We start from the raw sequence: 24,005 nt of genomic DNA, 5'->3' as shown, positions 1-24,005 counted from the left end.
CTCTTACGCCCAGTGGCATAAGAGAAACTCTGTGGAAACAGGGCTTATCTGGCACAGAATTATTTAAAAAAAATGTGGGACTTTATGTAAGGGGACCTTGAGTGATGTGACAGACAATGTCCTCCCACAACTTTTTTTAAATAGCAAATGCAGTAGAGAATTAATTTCCTCAACCCTCAAAAAATGCCAAGGTTTTAAAATTCAATTCAATTCAGGGAAGGCAATTCTATGAGAGATTTATAATTATTGTGGTCCAACTACACAGCCTCGATCCAAGGTTTCAACCTGAAGTCCTGAGGTACAGGTCAGTTCTGCATGTCCCTGGGGGTACTCCCTGGAGTTTCAGCAGGCTTAATTAAGTACCTGACTACCTCCTGTGCACCTAGCACTGTGAAGGTTGGCAGTTAAGTAAATTCTCATTTTAACCAGGGAGAAAAGAAATTTATGTTAAGGCTATCTGTACTTTAGAAGCTTAGATAAAAATCAGTCCAGAAAAAAAAAAATTAAGCAAGGAAGTCCTCATGGAGCAGCTAGATCTAGAACCCAGCCTTAGCGAATGAAGTACAGTTGTTCCTCCTTAACTGCAGGTTCAACCAATCAGATGAAAATTTTTGAAAAAAAAGACAATAAGGCCGGGTGCAGGGGACTCACGCCTGTAATCCTAGCACTTTGCAGGCCGAGGCGGGCGGATCACTTGAGACCAGGAGTTCAAGATGAGCCTGGCCAATATGGGGAGACCCCATCTCTACCAAAAATACAAAAAAATTAGCCAGGTATGGTGGCACGTGCCTGTAATCCCAGGCTGAGGCAGGAGAATCACTTGAACCTGAGAGGTGGAGGTTGCCACACTACCACACTCCAGCCTGGGCAACAGAGTGAGAGTCCGTCTTAAAAAATAAAAAAAAAGAAAATAAGAGAAAAGATAGTATAAAAAGAAAAATTTAAATAAAAGCAATACAGTATTTAAATTATTTACATCATTTACTTTGTAATAGGTATTATAAGTAATCTAGAGATGATTTAATGTATATAGGAGGATATGCATAGGTTATATGCAAATACTATGTCATTTTATATCAGACTTGATCATCTGTGGGTTTGGTATCTGCAGGGGAACTGGAACTATTTCCCCAAGGATATACAGGAACGACTGTATAAAATGTAGAAGCATGTGTAAGTATGAGTGTGTGCATGTACGTGCATATACATAGGTATTAAATGAGGAGATAAGTAATTTTAGAAGAAAAATTTTCACATTCACTTTATCTTGCTGCATTTTGTTTTATGGTATTCTTTTTTCCCCAAGTCTGACTTGTCACTATATATTAATATTCTGAACTTGTTCTAGATACAGCAAACTCTGATTCCATTGTATTATTTTGTGTGGCCCTCCCCACTTTCCAGACAGGTGAAATCCAGTTAAAATGAACATCAGGCAGCCTAGATAGGGAAAAGAAGTCACAGAGAACAGCTGGAGGGCTGGGTATGTCGCAGATGGAAAGGAAGCGTCTCCCTACCCCCACCCCAAACCCAGCTCCACCTTCATGATGGGCTGGGCTTCCTGTGTCCCTGTGGCAATCCCTTCTCTGTCGGCTAGCCCACACCTTCCCTGCCATTTTATGAATGGGATTTAGGTGCTGTAAATGGTAGTCAGAATTCCATTTATAGTCCGCATTAACAAAGGAAACCAAGGTGCTACCAAATGCCCAACATCTAGTCACCAAAGGAGCTCCCAGTGTTGCCCCTGGTCTCTAAGACAAGCTTGACTGGTATTTCCACCAGAGGTGAAGGCCTGAGCTGTGTCTCCCATGCCTCTTTCTGCTCTCCCCTGGCTAAAAGCATTATTTTCAGATGGAGGCACAGATAGAGTGAGAAACTGCCACTGCACTGGGAAAAGCTCCAGTCTGGGGGCTCTGAGACCTGGGTCCTAGTGTCTGCTCTGCCCTTTCCTGGCTGATGACCTTGAATCAAGGCACTTAATCTTTTTGGGCCCTAAAGGCCCCATCTGTAAAATGAGAAGGTTAGATTAGAAGTAGATGATGCCAAAGGTCTCTTTCAGCTAGAAATGTCTGAGATTCTAGGGACAGAATTGCGGTCCTCGGCTAAAGAGCACAGGAAAAAACTATCGCTGTACTTTGTAACAGAAAACGGCCATTTTCCAGCCTACTTCATAGATGATTACACAGTAAAATTCTTAAGAACTAACAACCCTCAGGGCCTTTGTTCTTTCTTCAAATAAATTAAACAGTTATATATTTTCTTTCAGCTGTGCCAATAATTTCATCATATTCATTCCACCTGCATGGGATCGTGATGCTTTCAGCCTTGGAACACCAATATTCACTGACAGGACACAACTTACAGTGCGGAAAGCACGAACAAACAGAGCAGAGAGATCCCAAACAAAGGAAACCCATTACCTGGTGTAGCAAGTTGAATAGGGACCCTCCCCACAAAATTCATGTCCATCTGAAACCAGTGAATGTGACGGTATTTGGAATTGGGTCTTTGCAAATGTAATCAAGTTAAGATGGGGTCGTACTCGTTGGAGGGAGTCCTAACCCCATGACTGGTGTCCTTGGAAGAAGTGAAATCTGGATACAAAGACACAGATACAGAGGGGAGGAGGCCACGTGAAGATGGAAGTGGAGACTGGAGCCACGTATCTACAGCAAGCAATGCCAAGGATGGCTGGCAACCATCAGAAGAGGAGACAAGCAGGGAACAGTCTTGCCTTCAGAGCCTAAGGAAGGAGCCAACCTTGTAAAACCTGTTTTCAAACTTCTAGCTTCTAGAATGGTGAGAGAATATGCCCAAATTACCTCTCATGACTCAGGAGTTCCACGCTCCTGTCCTTAGTGGCTGAAGGGACCGTTTGCCACTTCCTTCTGAAAGGACCCTTGTTACTCAGACACGCTCCCATCAATTCAGATGACAGCTAACTGACATGAACACCCACAGATGACTTCTTAACATAATACAAATTGCATTCTGTGAATAAATACTTATTGGCTTGGCTTCTTTGCCTCTGTGATTCAGCTATCAGAACCATCCTTTCCTTTCCTCTTAGCTATCAGCAAAGTGAGAGAGCTCAGAGGACACAGACAGCTGGGGGAGGGGGAGATCTCTCTTCCTTGCAACCCTCAAGGACCTAGCACAACAAGCTTTGATACTTATGGGTCCTAAGGCAAATACCTCTCAAGGAAAACCAAACCAAACCCCTAAAGGATTTCTCTGTTCCAATTCCATCTGGTTGAAGATGTAAATTTCATTTAGGGTCCAGTCCTGCAGTGACACAGCCAGTGCCAAATCCAGCCACAGTGTTTGTCCTGGGGCAAGTTCCTTAATCCCTCTGAACACCATCTGTAAACTGAACATGTTAATACATAAAGAGCATTTTAAAACAATGCCGGCATACAATACTACCGTATTTTTAATATTTTGGGGTACTACCGCAAAATATTCGCTATTACCATCTCCACTATTAAACTTTCCTCCATTTTGCCTCAGTAAACAACCTAAGTTGACAGATAGAAACGACCACAAAACATACTCCTTCCTAACTGACACACAAGTCTCATTAGCAATGAACTCACTAGCTGATTAACTGCTTGGGCCTCCTCCAATGAGTTTAAAATTAATTCCAGGACATACTCTTCTTGATTCTTCTAAAATGGAACCATATCTTCTAAAATGGAACCATGTTAGACTTAATAAATCACTGGATACTAAGTGGTGATCATCATGTCCCATAAACAGTTCCAAGATGCATTGTTCTTGTTTTCTGTGCTAAAATGCATCCTTGGCAGTGCACAGCTGGAACCCCTGCTCCTGACACCACCCCTCTCCTGCTGAGGGGCTTCTCCTGCCCATGGAAAGACTACCCATTCTTCCCTGCAGGTAAAAATCCCCTCTTGCCTAGCCTGGATCTCCCAGCAAACTGTAATGCCCTGAGATAAAACTTTGTCCCCCAAAGTACCCTGTGAGGATGTCAGGAGAAGGACAGCAGAAGGCCACAGCACACCACCCCAAAAACATGGTCTGTTTCCATCCCATGTCATTCTGATTTTTCAGCCTCTTTGGTGGCAGCTTAGATAAAAGTACAACCCCATCTTAACTTGATTACATCTGCAAAGACCCAATTTCCAAATAAGGTCACATTCACTGGTTTCAGATGGGACATAAATTTTGGAGGGTCACTATTGAACTTGCTACACCAGATAAAAGTGGTCAACCTTAAATGTGGGCAACATGACACCCTTGGAGAGAAAGTAAGGAGGAAATGGGCCACCTTCTCCCCACTTTATCTGCCATTTAACTAAATTAGTCAGAGCCATCATAGGGGGAAAAAAACCATTCTGCAGGGACGAAAACAAGCCCAGATGATTTTGGGGAGAAGGCCTAGCCATCCCCGTCTGAGTTGTGCCTTTGTGTCCTCTGAGTCTTTCACTGCCATGGGATGGGAGAGCCTCAGAACATAGCCAGGAGGCTTCGGGAACTGCACAGCCCTGGCGACCCGGCCCTGTTCTCACTCTCGGTAAGGTCTAATGAGGTGAGTGAGCACCTTAGCCAGCAGCTCACAGACCCACCTTTTAGCAAATCGGTGTTGGTCTAGGACCACGTGTCCTCCCACAGAGGGTTCTGTGGAATGGAGTCATCACGGTGCTCAAATACTCTGGGTTTGTTTGTTTTTGAGATGGAGTTTCGCTCTTGTCGCCCAAGCTGCAGTGCAATGGCACAATCTCAGGTCACTGCAACCTCTGCCTCCTGGGTTCAAGCCTCTGGCGTAGCTGGGATTACAGGTGGGTGCCACCATGCCCCACTAATTTATTGCATTTTTAGTAAAAACGGGGTTTCACCATGTTAGCCAGGCTGGTCTCGAACTCCTGACCTCAGGTGATCCACCTGCCTCGGCCTCCCAAAGTGCTGGAATTACAGGCGTGAGCTACTGCACCTGGCCAATACTCTGGGTTTTAAAAGACCACCTCTCGGCTGGGCACAGTGGCTTACATCTATAATCCTGGCCATTTGGGAGGCCAAGGAGGGTGGATTGCTTGAGCCCAGGAGTTCAAGACTAGCCTGTGTGACATGGAGAAACTCCGTCTCTATTGTTTAAAAGAAAAAAAAAAAAGACCTCCTCTCACCACCACCACCACCTCAAGCCAGAAGGGATGGGAAAGCCCTGGAAACAATAGGGCCAATCCTGTTTTCCAGAGATGCTGAGAAACACTGATTTTTGAACATTAACTAACTCAAGCCAGGGACTGCCCTGAAAGGGCGGGAGTGGGTTACCATAACAAGGAAGGATAAAGCCCTTGGTTGATCCAGTCCATCTCTTACAAACCAGGTCCTACAAGGTGAAGGGATCATCAAGTCACACACAATTTAGTAGAAGAGAACTGGAGGGATTGACAGATAATTAAATGTATTTACGGCAAGGTTGCCCTTTGTTGTATTCAAGATAAGTCCTTGAAATTGTCTTTCTGTGCAAACCTACTCATGTGATAACAGTTTTATTTAGCCATATTTCTTCCACAAAGTCATAAGGTCACACACTCAATCTGCTGGAATTTCAGAAAATAGTCTACAAGTTCTCAGGGGGAGTCAAGTTACCCAATGCAGGAAAACGTGAACCTCACATTTAAATGTCAGGAATGGCTACTAACCCATGAGCTTCCACAAAGAAAGTTACCAAACTAAAAATGTCTGAAGACTGAGTCACCAGTTAAACAGGAACATTTAATCGGGCACTTTTACGTGCCCTTACTAAAATACTGAAAGGAAGCTGGCCTCTTCCACTAGCAAATAACCCTGCTGAAAGAATAGTACTGGCTATGAGAGAACGAATGGGTAAAGCACTTAGTAAAATCACAGGCAAAATTGTTTTCTCTTTCACTGAGAAACCATGAATCCATACCTGAGAACAAACAAAAAAATCTTACGCCAGGTGTTTCCTCTAGGGAGGTTCTAGATTTTCTAAGAGAACAGGCATATGAATTGTGAGATTTATCCTAAACATATTTTTAAAAATCTACACCATAATTAAATTCTGTAATATCAGAAGCAAAATTGCAGTTTACCAGAACCCAATGAGCTCAAGTGCCTAGTTTACTGGAATTTTTAAGAGAAGGATACAACTGAAGAAGAGGGCATCTCCAGATTGATTGTCCTGGGCACCATAGAGATGCCACCCACTCTTCTATGTCTGGAAATAAGCTTCCAGAAGGAGGAAATGGAGATGGGGGTGGGAGGGCAAGACCCAGTGCCTGGCACAACCGTTGCCTGAAGAACCACTCAACCCATCTAACTCCCTAAGGCAGGCAAAGAAGAAAGTTTCACCCAGACCTGCAACAGAAAAGGACTTACAGCTACTCTCAGTTAATGAGAAAATAAAAATAACTGGGACTCACCGTTCCTGAGCGTTCTGGTTTCCCAACGCCGACTGGGAGCAGACAAGGCTCCCAGTGCCCCCAGTACTTGGCTAATACACACTGTGGGGCCCGTGATGACAGCATTAACACGTGCAGCCCATTATCACTCTAACAGTCTTGCATTTCACCATGGCAGGCATTTGTGAGGAAACCCGACCAATGACCAATGGGCCACGACCCTCTCCTCCCCTGCCAATTCAGCAGGGATGAGAACAAGCCCAGATGATTTTGCCAAAGGAGAGACTTGCTCGGCCCACTCACCCCAGCTGGGCAAAGCTGAGGTCACTCACCCATCCATCTCTTTCAGCTGTGTGGCTCTCTGATGCTGAATTCTGCCACCTGGGAGCAACAGCGCCCCTCAGGGCTCGGCCACCAGACCCTGTTACACAGGGAGAGACAGCAGAAAAAGCTCTGTGATCCTTGCCCTCCAAGACCAAGAGAAGGTTCTGGGGGCAACAGTACATAGTGTGCACAGCATTTTGAGGCATGCTTTACTTATTTCTGTTTTATAAATACCTCGGACGCTGTGAGTAGAAACAGGATCTCCTGCCAGTTTAGAGCAGAAGGCCTGAAGGTCACATGGATTCCTCTGTGACCAAGTCTTAGGAGACAAATGCTACCAGCTAAATCCAGATAAATATGAAGGATTCATCTGTGCCTGAAATGAAAAAGGGATATTGTGAGATAGGCACCTATCTGGTGCTGAACATGCCAGCCCAACACTGGGCCTCCAGGGAGCCCTGCCCAGCTTCCGCCATCAGTCCTGCTGATTATGAGAGCTAAAGAGCTTTGCCCCCAACTTGTAGGTCACAACCCAAGTGGAAAGACCCAGAGATTCTGGATTCTGGATGTCAGAGGAGGGAGAGGATCCCATTTGTGTCTCTACACTACTTGTCTCCAGTGCCATCTGGAGTTATTCCAACCCTTACCCCCCTGAACATTCTGTGCTGTACAGCTCTGGGCAGATCACTTGCACTTTTGGAGGATTTTGAGGCCTAACTTAAGAGTCCATGTGATATAACTGAATGACACAGGGGCGAAGGTTTTGGAACCAGGAGACCTGCGTTTGATTCCAGATTCTGCCAAGTGACCTTGGGTGAATTATCTAAACATTATGAAGATTTGTTTTTTCTTCTATAAAATGGGGGAAGGGAGGTTACTTTACGTGTAACTGAAGGAAAGAAGTTGATGAAATTCTGTAGGCTAAAAAAAATGACTTAAAATAATAAAATATGCACGGATATCCTCAAGATAAGGTTCGTAAAATGCTTTCAGCTCTTTAGCAGAAAGCTGCTTTATTAAATATTTCAAGATTAGAAAAATGTTAGTTTTAAAGCAACTGCTAAGGAATTGTAACACATGAGGAGGATGAGAATTGGTCCCCAAGTAGTCCTGAGCTTGACTTTATCACATCTTTGCATTGAGGATACCGAATGATCTAAAAACTAAAAACTCGAAAGGAAGCCCTCTGGGTTGATGTATTTTAGGGTCTTAGCTCAGTGGATTGCTTTTTCAAGTAAAGAGACAGAAGTAAGTTCATGCCCTCAAGTGTTCCTCTCTCCCGTCCGTCCACCACAAACACTCCACTATTGTTCCAAGGCTCACTCCTCCTGCCTCCCACTCTGGAAGTAAGTTTTCTCAGCCTTCTTTAAAGCCCAAGGGCAATCCCACCTGCCACCCCTAGCCTACCAGCAGCCTTCTTCCTTTGGGTTTTTGTGCAAACGTTGCCTGTATCAGGCAGGCATTTGCTCCTAGTCCACCTAAAAAATACTCTACACTGCAGAGCAGGAGCGCCCCACATGAAGCAGATAGCTACGCCACTCACTCCTCAGGAGCTCTTCCTCCGCTGGGCTTTCCCAATACATTCGTCTTGCCTCCTCATCAGTTTCCTGGGAGGCAAGGAACTGGCCATCAAGGAAGATGGTTTCATAAAAAATGGCAGAAATATTACTCTGAGATTAGGAAAGAAAATTACCCCACTTACCAAAAATTAATTCACTGGCATAAGTAGGGAGCACCCTCGTGGATAAAGCAGTGGCTTGCAAATGAAGAGGACAGAACCTGCGAAAAGGCATCAGTACCACTGGGAGGGATGTTTTGCAAACTACGCCCTCCTGACATTCCACCTCACTCCCCACAGGGACGAAAGACATCACTCTAACCTCTGTGGGGGCTATGAAAGAAGTATGATACACAGCATCCATAAAACAATTGGAAAATAGTACAACAAATCTGTATATAATGAAGTACTAAACTCTGAAGTACCAACTATAAATACTAGAGGAGTTCAAACAAAGGAGGCAGAAAGAAGAAGGAGGTGGACTCAAAGCTGGGAACCACTGGAAGAGATGGAATAGAAGAGAAGGTGAGAAGGAGGGGTGGATGCAGACGTCAGGCTGGGCTCACAGTTGAGCCAAGGCCCAAGAATGCTGGGCGGTCAGGAAATGGGCAGATGGACAAGAGGGGTGTGTTTTGGAGCAGTGGCAGTGAGTCATTATGGAATGAAGCTTCAGTGCTTTACTTACAAGGGGAATTCCAGACATCAGCCTGGAAAATGACGCTACACAGGTGCTGCCTTGGCTGTGCGCATAGGGCTGTGCACTGTTGTTCATATGAGGGGCTGAAGTGAGGTCATAGGTGTGAGAAGCATTTACTTGGCTACAAGTAACCTGACCCATGGCGATGTTGGACAAGCACTGACGTTCACCATTTGAGCCCCACTGCAAGCCCTTGATGGCATCTAACTAGTTTTGTACAACCTGCTGAACCATACAAAGATATTCACTGGGGGCCCATCCCCTCCAGGCCCTAAAAATCATACTATTTCTCACCTTCACACTGTGTAACCACCCTCTATAACTAGAACATTTGCTAGTCTCTTCTCTGCATAAAAGTGATGATTCATATCTCTTTCATCTCTGTTGGGGGTTCTGACCTATGTACTTGTAATTCAGTCCTCATGTTTAAATTCTACACAAATTTAAATTTAGGGTGTTGAGTGCATAGTGGACACTGTAAATATTTACTAATTGACTAAGTCTGTGGCATTAACCTAAAGCATTATCATTGTGGTTCTCTGAACAGAAGTTTCTTACCAGATTATTACATTGGGCGGAGAGGTACAGGCCTTTATGAGTAATTGCCACGCCACTGTACATCAGGAGAGAAAGCTCACTGTGGCCTGGGCTGTCAGCAGCTTTTGGATATTTAAAGAACATCTCAAAGTTCAAGCAAATAATTATCCATCCAAAAATGAGAGTTTTCACTTTCCACTGCTCAGAGGAGTTACTGTCCCAAGGCATATTTCTTTCACACTTTCCCCATTTGTCTCAAGAACATCTCACTGGGCTCAAAGATCTACTCCAGAAACTGCTGTCTCACAAATAAAGAAATATATTCAAAGCTAAAACAGGATGTTGGAGGTAGCAGAAGAAAGGAAAGGCCCGCAAATAGAAAGTAGATGGAAATCTACCCATTGATTGTTGACATTCAGTTAAATACTGAAATACCATTAGAAGACTCATGATTTCTGCTATTCTCTCCAAAATATACAATGCAACAAAATTGTCTATGGTATTCTCCAACTGACATGAGCTTATTTGGTCCAGAAAATATAAAACTCAATACCATTAACTGTAGTTTAACCTAGATTAAAAGGCTGGTGAAATTATAAAATAAGGTTCCTTTTTTTTTGAGATGGAGTCTCTCACTGTGGCCCAGGGTGGAGTGCAATGGCACATCTCAGCTCACAGCAACCTCCGCCTCCTGGGTTCCAGCAATTCTCCTGCCTCAGCCTCCCGAGTAGCTGGTATTACAGGTGCCCGCCACCACACCTGGCTAATTTTTTGTATTTTTAGTAGAGACAGGGTTTCACTATGTTGGCCAGGCTGGTCTCGAACTCCTGACCTCGTGATCCACCCACCTCAGCCTCCGAAAGTGCTGGGATTACAGGCGTGAGCCACTTTGCCTGGCCAATAAGGTTCCTTTTTAACATCTAAGGAGAATGGAAAAATATTTCTACAAAGATTTCTGCTTCATTGAGATGCTTTCTGTAGATGTACATTGGTGGTGGGGTAGAGAGGCTACTTGCAGGATCTGGACACAGACAGATTTGACCTGAACTGCAGCTACACTACTTACTAGTTGTGTGGCTTCGGGCAAGTGGGAGGATCACTTGAGCACAGAAGATTGAGGCTACAGTGAGCTATGATCGCACTATTGCACTCCAGCCTGGGTGACAGAGTAAGACCCTGTCTCTTAAAAAAAAAAAAAAAAATTAACAACACAATGTGAACTTGGGAGTGGTGTGCTCACCAGAGAAGACAAAGGAGAGACTTCATTCACCAAGGCTGGAAGATCCCAGTCCAGAGCCAAATGTCTGGGTCCTCAAGCCTGGTTAGTCTGGTCTTGACTTGCCTGTGAGCAATCATGATCAATGCTAATTTAAATGTCTTCTACAGGTAACATGGATCACACACACGTTCCTTCTCCCATTCCAGACCATAAGCTCCTCTACCGGCTGCCCAGACAAAATATTAAATCTGTGAACCATAAGTTAGGGTAAAGACTCTCATCCTAGAATCTAGTATTGTTCTTTGGCTCTGATACTGTTATCTTTAAATCACTGTATCTTTATTATTTACTTATTTTTTGAGACAGGGTCTTGCTCTGCTGCCCAGGCTGGAGTGCAGCGGCATGATCTTGGCTCACTGCAACCTCCACCTCCCGGGTTCAAGCAATTCTATTCTCATGCCTCAGCCTCCCGAGTAGCTGGGACCACAGGTGTGCACTACCATGCCCAGCTTAGTTTTATATTTTTCACCATGTTGGCCAGGATGGTCTTGAACTCCTGGCCTCAAGTGATCCACTTACCTCGGCCTCCCAAAGTGCTGGGATTACAGGTATGAGCTACTGCACCCCGCCTTTTATTTATTTATTTTAATTTATAGAGACAAGGTCTTGCTCTGTTACCCAGGCTGGAGTGCAGTGGTGCAATCATAGCTCACTGCAACTCTGAACTCCTGGGCTCAAGTGATCTTCCTGCCTCAGCTTCCCGAGTAGCTGGGACTGCAGGTATGTGCCACCACACTTGGCTAATTAAAATTTCTTGTTGTTGTTGTTGTTGCAGAGATGGAGTCTCACTATGTTTTCCAGGCTGGTCTCCAACTACTGGCCTCAAGTGATCCTCCCACCTTAGCCTCCCACTGTGCTGGAATTATACAGGTATGAGCCACTGAGCCTGGCCAAATCATGATAACTTTAAATGAAGGAACAAAGCTGGATGATAAGAAAATGTCCTATTTGTGTAGCTCTATCGTTTATAAAGTGTTCGTGATTTTAATACATTACCTCATTTACTCCTCAAACATGTCACAGAATGCATTTGTGTTGACAGTGAAGACTGAATGCCTAACTTACTGACAAAGTGCATCCTCCGACATTACCTCATTTGGTGCTCACAACCGCTGTGAGTTACTATTAATGCAGGCAAGGAAACTGAGGACCAGGGACCCTCCCTGTGCCAGGCCCTGGTGAGGCTCTAGGAATACAGAGAAGCAAGGCACCCATCCATCTTATAAGCTGTTTGCAGAGCTGGATGGATTCTGATCACTTCAGCCTTGATAATTCAGCTTTACAGAAGCTCCATGAGGCCTCTCTGCTCATCCATAAGAGACTTAAAGAAATCTGCATTCCTCTTATAAGCTCTTTTGTGGCAAAGTGCTGATTTCTCTTGCGATGTCAGTGCAACATCCAGAATTTATATGTAGAGTCAATAAATAGACTGATGGGTGATATTAATGATAGATGGAGGGAAAGGAACTATGTTTTCTAAATTGGGAAAAATATCCTTGGCTATAATCTACTCGGCATTTTCCATCATCCCACTATTTAGAAGGGTACATTTGTCAACATCATTGACAAGAATGAGCAAGCACTTTATTTACATGATCAGAATAGAGGAGGGAACTGCAGCCAGGATATTTGGAACCTGAGAAGCTAATGTCTACAGTGTGAATACAGTTCAGGCCACACAAGGAGCTGGAAGGGGTTGGAAGCTCAGTTAGCACTGTGGAAAGCCTCCTCTATGGCCCATAGTGGGGCACAGGGTGTTCAGGCCCCAGGGAAACTCCTCAGGACAGAGTGTCTGGCACAGCGTCCAGCAGGGAAAGAGCTCAATAAATGCCTGCTGAACTCTGAATTTTTCTCATTCTCTGAATGAGAAAAAAGAACATTTCCCAGCTGTGAGGACTCTAGCACAATCACATAATCCTAGGAATATTGTATGTCCCTCAATTTTTAGGAAATAGTAATGACATAATTGAATACATGAGAAAAAGTAATAGGATGCCAAACAATATATGTAGAAATTTGCTAAAATTTGCCTGGGTGCCATGGCGCACATCTGTAATCCCAGCACTTTGGGAGGCTGAGGTGGGTGGATCACTTGAGCTCAGGAATTTGAGACCAGCCTGGGCAACATGGTGAAACCCCATCTCTACAACAAACACAAAAATTAGCTGGGTGTGATGTAGTCCTAACTACTGGGAAGGCTGAGGTGGAAGGATCACTTGAGTCTAGGAGGTGGAGGCTGCAGTGAGCCCAGATCCTGCCACTGCAATCCAGCCTGCGTGACAGAGTGAGACTGTCTCAAAAAAGAAAAAACAAGAAATTTGCTAACATGTATAATTCCATGTTAAGTGACTAAAACAAGGAGCAGAACAACATGTACAATATGCTACCAGTTATATAAAAAAGAAAGAAAAAGAATATAGATGCATACACATTTGCTGGGACACACATAAAAGATCTCTGAAAAAATATACAAGATACTAGTAACATTGAGTGCTTCTTGGGAGGAAGTTTTCCACTCTTTACTATGTTGTACCTTTTGAATGTTATAACACATGAATGCGTTATCTGTCAAAAGTAAACAAATACCTCTACTGGACAGACTACCCAGTTTCTCCAACAAATTACAGGGAAAAGAAGAAAAAAGAAAAGAAAAGGGGACCTATAGCTTAAAAGAGACATAAATGGTAGAGCAATCAATCATAATGTCTAATCCTTACTTGAATCCTAACTCACAAAAATTAAGCTTAAGGAGAAAAACACTTATGCCATTTTTAAACAATTGGAAATTTGAACAATGATGATATTTGATGATATTAAAGGATTAGTGTTAATTTTTCAAAGAGTAATAATGGGTGTTTAACAAAGGAGTCTTTATATTTAAGAATTATCATGGAAATATTTACAGATGCAACTATATGATGTTTGGGATCTATTTCAAAATTAATGTGAGCTGGGAGAAGTAGCTAGGAAGACAGAGTAAATGTGAGTGGTTATGAGTTGATTATTGTTAAAGCTGGGATGGGTTTTGTGGGGCTTGGAGGTTCATTATATGATTCTCTCTACTTCTGTATATCTTTAAAATTCCCAGAATAAAAAGCTAATAAATGAATGAGTGATTATTTAGCAATATGACAAACAGTCCTGCTAGTCACAAAGGCCCAAGCTCACCCCAACTTTCAGCTGCGATCAAGCCTCTACTGTCCCTGGGCTGATGAGTTGCCTGTGGAAAATAAACTTGAGGCTGCTGCCAGCTACTGCAATTCTGGCAAGAGTTTAGGTCACGCAAATATCAACAAGAAACCTTTATCACTCACTCCAAAAATAAACAAACAAAAAGAAACAGAGAAATTAGTTTTGGAAGTCTTCCTTTCATTAATGTAGAAGGTAAGTGTTGGCTGCACGTACAAACGGGTATGATGACTTGTACCTGCTCCCCTGTAAAGTGTCTTTCCCAAACCCATAAGTAACTTTTGTCACTCTCTTTGGGAGTGTTTCTCAAGTTCTCCAAATAACTTTATCACTTTCAGGGTCCGAACAGACAGGACCTCAAGGCAGAAAACCAATTATGTCAATTAACTCTTCAACTCAGCTAATATTTCTCAAATGGTCAGCACATGGAAAGGAGCCATATGAATGACACAAACATGACTGGAAACCTCTGTCTGCCTCCCAGAGCTTCGATTCCTGCACTGGGGTCTTTCAAACTCAGGTACCAAATGGCTTCCTCTGAGGGGAAAAACTAGTCCTGCCAGATGCCCCTGGTTACATTACTTTGTGTTCCATTCTTAAATTTAAATTAAACTACTTTTATCCAACTATTATTTATTATATTATTTCTTAAAATGCACAAACAGTACAAATAGTACTCAGTATGGAGCATAAACTTCCTTTGGCACTTTTACGATTACAGAGATCCAGGCACATTTATAAAAACATAAAATTACTCAAACAGTAAATTCAGATGAGCTACATTAATGTAATGAGACTAATGCCATTTTTCAGACCTGAAATACCTGCAGACAATGTCAGTGTGGTCCTGCCTGTGCCTGGGCAGGTTCTATGGATCCCGAGAGCCTACACTGACAGGTACAGTGTGACAAGTCCATTCTCACACTCCTTTTCTCGCTGGGACCACTGCTACAGCCTTCATTTACACAGTGCTGTGTGGTATCATTTGACTTCACATGATGCTCTCATATCTTTTCTGCGCGAAGTTCATCTCTGTATTTTTCTCTATAGTGGGGTTTACCTGGCTTCAATTCATCAGAAATTCACATACAAACGGGGGAGGCACTGAGACGACGTGGGTGCACCTTGATATTATAATTAGGTATCCCAACATTCCAGGACAGGCTTGTAAAACATTTTCAATTATCATTAACACGAAACCAAAACGTCTGAGTTTGTAATCTAATGAGAACCCAAGGAACCTCAAGGACACATCCTCAGCCCTGGATTGGGAAATCCATAGCACAAAATGAATGTGATGGTGCTACACGAGGAAAGCAAAAAGTGTGGTGGGGACACGGAAGAGAGGTCATGCTGTATCTCAGAAGCCATCTGGGCCATTACCGGGCATACCAAATCATGGATTTAGTAAGTTTAAGTACATGCTTCCAAAGAACTTATGTGTAAATACCACTGAAGAGCCTTACTTAATTCCAGCAGGTTGCTGGGGTCTCACCTCAGCCCCCTCCCACTCCTCAGTCCTTAAGAACTAAAACGTGGCACTTCAAACATGACAAATCCAGGCTTCAGGATTCAAAGAACGATTTCCAGTATAAGTTCACCTCACTATAAGGTGCTACAATTGCATATCAACATTGTGTAGTCTGTACCACCTGAAAAACTGGGCGCAAAGCCCCGCCAAATGCTGCTGCAGTTAGGTTAACTAAACTAAATCAATGGCCTGATTTCCCAGAAAAAGAGTAACGAGCATTGTTTAAGGAAACTGCAAAAGAGGAACCTCTCCTTGAGTAGAATCCTCGACTTTAGGCCCTCCCAAACAGCATAATTCAATGGCCATTAACTCAACCTTTTTAGTAAGCTAAATATGTCCTGGTTAGAAGGTGCTCTTTAATCTGAGATATTGATCTTCCAACATTTTTGGTGCTAAAATATCTTTTTTTTTTTTTTTTTTTTTTGAGACACAGTCTTGCTCTGTCACCCAGGCTGGAGTACAGTAGCTCAATCTTGGCTCACCGGAACCTCTGCCTCCCGGGTTCAAGTGATTCTCCTGCTTCAGCTTCCCGAGTAGCTGGGATTCTGAGTGTGAACCACCATGCCCGGCTAATATTTTGTATTTTTAGTGGATATGGGGTTTCATCATGTTGGCCAGGCTGGTCTCGAACTCCTGGTCTCAAGTGATCCGCCTGCCTCGGCCTCTCAAAGTACTGGGATTACAGGTGTGAGCCACCGCACCCAGGCTAAAATATCTTTTTAGATGACAGGGCTTTTGTATTTCCTTATTTGTTTTTGTTGTTGTTGTTGTTGCTGTTTTGAGACGGAGTCTTGCTCTGCCGCCCAGGCTGGAGTGCAGTGGTGCGATCTTGGCTCACGGCAGCCTCTGCCTCCTGGGTTCAAGTGATTCTCCTGCCTCAGTCTCCCAAGTAGCTGGGACTACAGGCGCACACCACCATGCTCAGCTAATTTTTGTATTTTTAGTAGAGACGGGGTTTCACCATGTTGATCAGGCAGATCTCAAACTCCTGACCTCAGGTGATCCGCCCGCCTCGGCCTCCCAAAGTGCTGTCACTACAGGCGTAGTGACACCAAGCCCTGCTGTATTTCCTTATTTGAAAGAATTAAAATGTAGCAATCCATGTTGGGCTTCCTGATTTTTGTTTTTTATTGCCCTCATTGACATGACTAAGTAAACAGTACACAAATACATGCCTACAGTGACTGTACACATAGGGAGGCAATCTTTCAAAGCTTCTCTTTTATCCAAGATAAAATGAGAGGCTGAGGCAGGAAAATCGCTTGAACCCGGGAAGCAGAGGTTGCAGTGCACCGAGATCGGGCCACTGCACTCTAGCCTGGAAAAAGTGGAACTGATAACACCACCTCCCTCTCCTCACCTTATGTAACACAGTATCTGTGGTACAACTGACTAATAATGTGGGGGCTCTGCAATGAGCAAAGGCCAGAAGGTAAGGACTCTAGATTAGACTAATAGACTAAAGATTCCATTCAATTTCCAGGTGGCTCTAAACCAGACTCAGAGGTAAATAAAAGCAAGACGAAGGTTAAGGCACATTCAAAGGAAAGAGGAAAAAAAACCCGAGAGGCAAGACCTGGGAGCCACTGAAGACTATAAGACCATGTTTAAATCAGTGTGGTTATTTTAAACATAAGCCTAGCCATAGAAAGTTCAAATACGAAGAACCTTGAAAACTTTCTTCTTAGAGTCGGCATCAGTGGAACCCTTTGTTAGCGAGGCCAGGTCAGGCTCAGACCTTGGAAGTTTAAAGCGGTTTGGAGATCTTGGGAAATACTTTCAAGGACAGCAACAAAATTACGTGTGGGCTTGGGGAAGACGCTTTACAGAGGAGCAGGTGTGAGAGCTGGTTTTTCCTGGGGTGAGAGAAAAGAAGGGGTGAGACACTTAAAGCTACCCAAACAGAAAGTGCTGTGACAAAGGGCAGGCTTCCTCTTGGACGCCCAAAGGCAGGACAAATGGAGTGATGCTGTGGTGCAGGAGACGGGATGAAATGCAACAGAGATGCTGGAAATGAGGCCAGGCACGGTGGCTCACGTCTGTAATCCCAGCACTTTGGGAGGCTGAGGCAAGAGGATCACCTGAGGTCAGGAGTTTGAGACCAGCATAGTGAAACCCTGTCTCTACCAAAAATACAAAATTAGCTGGGGGTGGTGGCGTGTGCCTGTAATCCCAGCTACTTGAGAGGCTGAGGCAGGAAAATCGTTTGAACCCGCGAAGCAGAGGTTGCAGCGAGCCAAGATTGCGCCACTGCACTCCAGCCTGGGAGACAAAAGTGAGACTCTGTCTCAAAAAAAAAAAAAAAAAAAAAAAAGAATGAAAAAAGATGCTGGAAATGTGACTTGGGGAGGCCAGGAAGCTTCTCTGGAGAACAGAGAGCAAACGGCAAACTTTCCCTGGAAATGCTAGCACATTCTGCACAGACGGCAAGGCGAAGAAGGGCCCAAGGACCAATGCGTTCCTCACTCTCCAGTGCCCCAGCTCTCCCTTCTCAGCTGACCTTTAGAAGCTCCCCTGCACCTCCCCCGGGCTCTCACAGAAAAGAAAAATATTTGCCTCCAAATATTCACAAGATCTTTAAGATCTCCAGCAAAGCTGCTGCCTAAATAAGACTGTTTTTTAGCATCCTTAGAAACAGAAAACAGATATCTAAAATAGACGGCCTTCATAAAAAATGACGTGGAAGCTCTTTTCACACTGCCAAGAAATATTAAGTGAAAAAGGCAAGGTTCCAAATAGCATGTATGCAGTGTGCTACCATTTCTGCAAAAAGGGGTGGTGTACAGAATATGTTTAACGAATTTGCTTACAGATGTATAAAATCCCTTGGAAGTTCAGGGACCACTTCTGGAGGATGAAGAAATCGCTAATACTGGTTGCCTCTGAGGATCAGGGGTCAGGGGTACACACAGATGTATTTACTAGTTAACCTTTTGTGCCTTTAAAAAATTTTCTTTCATCATGTGAATGTATTGCCTATTTTTAAAAACTAAAATTTGAATTAAAAAATTTTAAAATTTCTATTAAAAACAATTTTAAAACAAAATAGTTTTTAAGCAACAAACCAAACTAATTTGTTAATCTTGTCAACTGTGTTCCTGGCACACACCAGATGCTTAATTTGTTGAACTTAATGAACCTCCACTTAAAGACAACAAAAGAAAATCAGAAACCAGGCAAATCCAAGGGTACCAACGTTCCACTTCTCTAAAAAGCTCTTCACCTGTCTGCTATTTATTGTGAAAGATCAGACAATGAGTCGGTGTGTAACAAGCCCCTCACCCAAATGGCCCCAGTCCACAAGCTTCAGGGGTAATGGTGGAGCTTATCGTCTGTCCACACCAACCATTTTACAAACAGAAAACATTCAATCCAAAAATATGATGCCCTGGACAAGACAACAAAAATCAATCTGCAGATATGAAAATCCTGAAAGGAGATAATGTAGCATCTGTATGGTATCAACAAAGAAACAGCAGCACAGGGCTTAAAAATGTCCTACTCATGCACTGGCCAAAAAGGCTGAACCATGAAAAGCTGCTATAAAATCCTGACACCAGACACATTTAAGAGGCACCCTGAACTTCTCATTGCTCTGTTCCTGGGGATAGCTTAGCCCAAGATGAAACAGAAAGGCTAAAGCAACTCATGCCCCACATCATCTATACTCTGAAACTGGTCATGGAGTACTCAAAACTCACAATGCAATAAAAATGGGAATACTGTAAGCTGTAGGTCATGGTAGAAATTCTGCCACACAAAATTCAATTATATTGGAAATGTCTCTCTCCTGGGGCTTTTAAAAGAGCCAGATTTTAGGCAAAAAATAAGACAGACTCTACCCCTGTCTCCCATAAGACCAAAGAAATTATTTCCTGCTCGGGGCAGGAGCTCTGAACAAGGGCAGTGAGAACCACTACAGAGGTTATGGGTCCTGCCGGAGATTACCAGGAAAAGGCGTAAATGCTTAAAGCAACGAGTAACAGCAAATGAGAAGCTCATCCACCAAAATACTGAGAAAAGAGAGTGAGAAAGAGAGAAAGGGGCCCATATTAATACACAAGCAAAGAAATGAAAACTATTATTCTAAAATGGCTGATCTCTAGAACAGCTTAAACAAAAACCGAAATTCAGAATCAACTCAAGAAAAATAAAGCATGAGAAGGTGCCATTTAATGAAGTGATAATCTTTGGTTCAATCTAGAAAACAAGTAAAAACAGAAGAGAAAATCAAAGGTGACTGGATTCCTGCAAAAAATGAAAGTGGCAGGCATCTTTTCATCAAAAGGGAATTGGCTGGCACACTGAGAGTGCCTATTTGTCAGACCCACGCAGGCGATAAAGGAAATGAAGGTGAGAGTAAAAAGGGAAAAAAGTGAACGACCCTGACTAAAATGAGAGGAAAAAGACCATTCCCTTGTACTTGCCATCTGGTTTATTTCAAGCTTTGGAAAAGAACAGGAAAAACACAGATAAACCAGTGAACCAGCTAGATTGCCAGCACGGATCAGTCACACACTTTTGCTTCTGCCAGGCCAGGCAGGCGCTGCTGGTGCTCCCCCTATTCGAATGACTAAGTAACTTCCTTAAATGCAGTTGACACATGATCCCTGAACTTCCGAAAAGCACTTAATACAGTGGCTCATAAAATCTTAATCTAAAAATGTTCATCCATTTAGAATCAAGCTGCATCACACTCATCGCTTGGGAGGAGGGCTGAAGAGAGGGAATACATATTTGGAAGGACACCATGGACACGGGTATCATCCAGGACTTTACCATTTCGAGGGATTCCCACCCCTCACTGCCTGCTTTTAACGATAATTTTAAAGGGTTCAGAGCCTAAGAAGAATGTAACTGCAAGGGGGAACTAACATAGAAACTAAATTACCTGAATCACAAAAATAAGTAAGGTATAAAATGCAACGTGACTTGGAAACCCCTTGCAGCTGTCTGTGTTAAAATGAAATCTGGAATATGTTAAATGAATTTGGGGGTGGGGGGAAGGGGACTGGGGGAAAAATTAGCTCTTGATAGAGTATTGGGTGGTGGATATGAAGAAAAATGTACAAAAAGGCAACAGAATATCATATCTAGCAAATCTATTGTGCTTACCCTGTGCCAGGTACTGTTCTAAATGCTTCAGATGTAGTAACTCCATGCACTTCTCAAAACAATCTTCTAACATAAGTATCATTATTATTTCTGTTTTAGAGGTGAGGAAACAGAGGCACAGAGAAGTTAAGTAGCTTGCCCAAGGTTGTACAGCCAGTAAGAGGCAGGGCTGGGATTCAAATCCAGGCACTCAGGCACCAAAATCTGTCCTCCTAACCTCTCTGGACTCCCCTAGAACTTAAAACACTGAGAATGGGCAAACTAAGCTTGGAGTGAAATAAGTCATGCACTGGCTAGATCTAAATACAGTCAAGAGATCAACCCTTAGTCATGGGCCTGTGATGACCAACCAGCCCTGTGACCACCCCAGGCCTCAGTTTCCTCACCTGTGCATTGAGGAGACTGAATGAGAGTCCACCTAATTAGACTTAGATAGAGATGAGCTCTATCTAAGGTGCCTTCAGCTCTAAAATGTCACAGTCCGTGCTGACTACCAGCTGTATATGGACTGCTTTCTGACTAGATGTTCAAAGATTAATTCATCCTAAAACACACAGCAAGGTGTGTTAAGATTCTTTCTCTGCCTCCTGACCTTTAGATTATTATGTTCTCTCTATTCCGGCAAATGACAGAGGGTAGTGAAGGATTTCTCTTTTGGACTCTGCTTAATGTGGCTGTAAGGAAACGGCCTTCGAAAAGCTCTGGGCACAGATCTTGTTGACTCTGCCAAACCTGCAGTCTCTCCAGGTCCCTCTGTGGAGCCTGTTCTTGGAACATGCCTTTGGATTTGGTTACTGGAATGCAGGTGAAACTGACAAACTGGAGGTCCAGCAACCAAAAAAGAGAGATTGGGAAGATTAAGAGAGCGGTCCATGGTAGTTCAAATACAAGGAGTTTCACAGTGGCTAAATAAACCTCTATCTTTTTGTATAATCCAGTCTCTTTGCTAACACCCACTCTTGAGAGCTGAAACCTCAAAATTCATTATGGGTGAATTCAACAGCCACTTGGAACCTAATGGACCCCCAGAAGTACTCTTCTCAAGCTAGGCATCAAAGGCCACTTAGAGTGCATTTGTGGGTAGAGAAGGCCCTTACAGATGGGTCATGCAGTCCTCCCTTGGGAGTCCTAAGCATCCGACACAGGTGGCTGTCATCAGGCCACTGCTTGGACATCGCCAAGGTCGAGGCGCTAGCTGCCCGGCCTGGCAGGCAGCCTCCTGCGCTGCTGGACAGCTCTAGCTGTGGGAAAAGCTCACGAAGGGCCTAGAACAGTGCCGGTCGCGGGGCCGAACTCGGTAAATGTGCTTCCAAGTGGGTCAAAAGCTGCCTTTCTAGAACTTAAACCCACTGGTCCTGCGTGAGCCCCTGGAGCCCCGAAACACAGAGGCCTCTCGGGTATCTCGGGCTGTAATCAGGCCCCTCGGCCCTCTCCTTCCAGGTGCGGATCCCGGACCTTCTTCGCCGAGCCTGAACCGGCAGACCCCTCCCCAGGCCCCTGAAGACCCAGGAGTGAGCACCAATGGGGGAAAGGCCGCGGTCGGGGTTGTCCCCAACCTCGGTTCCTCGGGCAGAAGGGGACAAAGGGCCTCAGGAAGGCGTATCCCCCGCCGCGATCTGGGCTGTCCCCACCACTGGGCAAGCCAGCCCCTGGGACCCCCACGGCGCCAGATGACAGGCCCCCCAGGATCCCCTCAGGCTGCGGCGTGATGGGCCGAGCTACGCCGGGGACCTCGGGGCTCGGAGATTCGGTTCGACGGGTCCGGGGTGCGATCCCCGCTCCGCGGAGCTCGCTCGGCCGTGGCTTTACCTGCGTGTGATTGACTACAGGTGCTCAGCTCGCCCCCAGTCTGGTTCCTGCAGCTCCCCGGCTGCCAGCGGCGCTCATGGATATACAGCCGGAACCCCTGGCCAGTGCAGCTCCCGCCGCTACCGGCCCCGCCCAAGTAACTGCCGCCACGCCCCTGACGACCGCTTCTGCCACGCCCCTAACCACGGAAACCGCTTGTTCATTGGGCAGTTCAGCCGCTTCTCCACTTGCCCCGCGCGCTCATTGCGTCTAGGAGGGGATCCATTGATCAGCGAAGCTGTTCCTCAGAGTGGAGGCGGGATTCTTAGGGGAGAGCTCCTCAGCAATTGGTTACATTTGACGGCTTTAGTCCAGGGACCCAGACGCTACTGGATAAGGCCAGCCCGGAGTGGGCGGGGAAAGGGGAGGAGGGCTAGAAGGTGGGTCGTGTTTGATGTCGATGGGGGCGGGGTGAAGAGACGGGTAATTGTGACCGCAAACTGCTTTAGAGGGCTGGGTAAGGTCAGCTGTCGACTGGGCTCAGAGGAATGAGGTCGGCTGGTAGCTCAGCTGCTGGTAGCTCAGCTGGGGCTCTTATGGGTCCAGGCCGACTGACTGACTCACGTGTACTCAAATTTCGCAGGGGTGAAATTTGAGGTCATATCCCGGGAGAGAGGAAGAAGGGTCGTGAGTCACCGAACCCGAAGGAGAGGAAAAGATGTGGAGGCAGCGGTCTATGGCCTCTTCCAGCTCCGGACGGGGGATGGGGACGCTCTGGGCAATACGGGCCTCAGTTATTGTCCCACTGTCCTTTCAACCCTTAACCAACCCAGTTGGAGGCCGCCTGGAAGAATGTAGCCTTGGAACTAGGGCCTGGAATTGGGGCTCCTACCGGTTGTGTGGGCTTGGGCAAGTCACTTAACCTTCCCGCATGCTCCCTTCACTTGGCAACTGAGGGTAACAATAGTAGTTGATGAGAAGATTAAATAAACTCTGATAAATGCCAACAGTGGCTGGCACTCAACAGGCATTCAATCAAGGCTGATTCTTCCCCCATCACCCACTCACCTCATCCGGCTGGGAAACTAGGCCCATTTCTAAAATTCTATGAGCCTGAAACTGCTTTTGCAATGGCATGTCGTGTACCAAGAATAGAACACTTGAGCGACTTGAAATGCAACCCCTGTAGGGCAGACAAGGCCACCCTACCAAGGCCCCATAGGGCTCGGAGAGAGGGAGCAGGGGATGAAATGAGAGGAGCGATTTAGTCAGAGAAGGGAAGTGGCATTTGTTACCATGTAAATTTTTCCCAACATATTTCAGGTTGTGACAAGGAACAGTGGGCTGGCTCAAGTTTTATGGAGCGTAACCAAATAACATCCTTTGAAGGCTGATCAGCACCGGACCAGAAATCATTGCATGAGCTCTATCTGTCAGAGACCCCTGAAACCCATTCCCCATTCTGAAGGTGTAGACATCACAGAGTGTGGACAGAAATAGCTTCTCAGGCCTGAATGTAGCCCCAGACCCTTTGTGTCTGTCTTTGAAAGAACTCACAGCCATGGTACATCAGAGTGAAGGAGAAGAAAGAATCCTTT

General features: G+C 44.8%; 2 protein-coding genes across 16 annotated transcripts in view, besides 5 other annotated features; one reads left to right on the top strand and one right to left on the bottom strand.

Moving 5' to 3' along the window:
• Positions 1-24,005, bottom strand: part of ABHD2 (abhydrolase domain containing 2, acylglycerol lipase) — a 161,358-nt gene that overhangs the window by 91,364 nt on the left and 45,989 nt on the right. For 5 of the 15 annotated variants that reach the window (NM_152924.5, NM_001416422.1, NM_001416418.1 and 2 more), the window contains exon 1: positions 22,429-22,536. The exons of 2 other annotated variants lie outside the window; for them this stretch is intronic. The gene's annotated coding sequence lies outside the window, so the exon portion shown is untranslated. Of the gene's footprint in view, positions 1-6,410; positions 6,811-6,947; positions 7,090-8,415; positions 8,493-20,619; positions 20,710-22,428; positions 22,537-24,005 lie in introns of those variants that run through there. 8 more of the 15 variants (NM_007011.8, NM_001416413.1, NM_001416415.1 and 5 more) reach the window with 8 other exon arrangements.
• On the top strand, positions 4,460-23,431 carry LOC124903573 (uncharacterized). Its single transcript, XM_047433432.1, has 7 exons — positions 4,460-4,552; positions 7,238-7,380; positions 18,751-18,816; positions 19,709-19,857; positions 22,060-22,157; positions 22,306-22,924; positions 23,051-23,431. The coding sequence occupies exons 1-7, from the start codon at positions 4,460-4,462 to the stop codon at positions 23,263-23,265; spliced, it is 1,383 nt and encodes a 460-aa protein (XP_047289388.1). The 3' UTR covers positions 23,266-23,431.
• Positions 8,124-9,323: an enhancer, noted in NCBI's record as "P300/CBP strongly-dependent group 1 enhancer chr15:89644900-89646099 (GRCh37/hg19 assembly coordinates)". NCBI's record gives its function as "activates an origin of replication core promoter dependent on BRD2, BRD4, P300/CBP, MED14 and CDK7 cofactors, with strong dependence on P300/CBP, by STARR-seq in HCT116 cells {active_cell/tissue: HCT116}" and the evidence as "EXISTENCE:reporter gene assay evidence [ECO:0000049][PMID:35650434]".
• Positions 21,877-22,396: an enhancer, noted in NCBI's record as "H3K4me1 hESC enhancer chr15:89631827-89632346 (GRCh37/hg19 assembly coordinates)". NCBI's record gives its function as "activates a minimal SCP1, AML or CMV promoter by ChIP-STARR-seq in primed H9 embryonic stem cells {active_cell/tissue: H9 hESC(primed)}" and the evidence as "EXISTENCE:reporter gene assay evidence [ECO:0000049][PMID:30033119]".
• Positions 21,877-22,517: a biological region, named in NCBI's record as "H3K4me1 hESC enhancer GRCh37_chr15:89631827-89632346".
• Positions 22,338-22,517: an enhancer, noted in NCBI's record as "active region_10041". NCBI's record gives its function as "activates an Ori minimal core promoter by ATAC-STARR-seq in GM12878 lymphoblastoid cells {active_cell/tissue: GM12878}" and the evidence as "EXISTENCE:reporter gene assay evidence [ECO:0000049][PMID:35858748]".
• Positions 23,128-23,773: an enhancer, noted in NCBI's record as "H3K27ac hESC enhancer chr15:89630450-89631095 (GRCh37/hg19 assembly coordinates)". NCBI's record gives its function as "activates a minimal SCP1, AML or CMV promoter by ChIP-STARR-seq in naive H9 embryonic stem cells {active_cell/tissue: H9 hESC(naive)}" and the evidence as "EXISTENCE:reporter gene assay evidence [ECO:0000049][PMID:30033119]".

The sequence above is a fragment of the Homo sapiens genome, chromosome 15, assembly GCF_000001405.40.
Source record: "Homo sapiens chromosome 15, GRCh38.p14 Primary Assembly".
NCBI lineage: Eukaryota > Metazoa > Chordata > Mammalia > Primates > Hominidae > Homo > Homo sapiens.
This window is presented reverse-complemented; position numbering and strand designations above follow the sequence as displayed.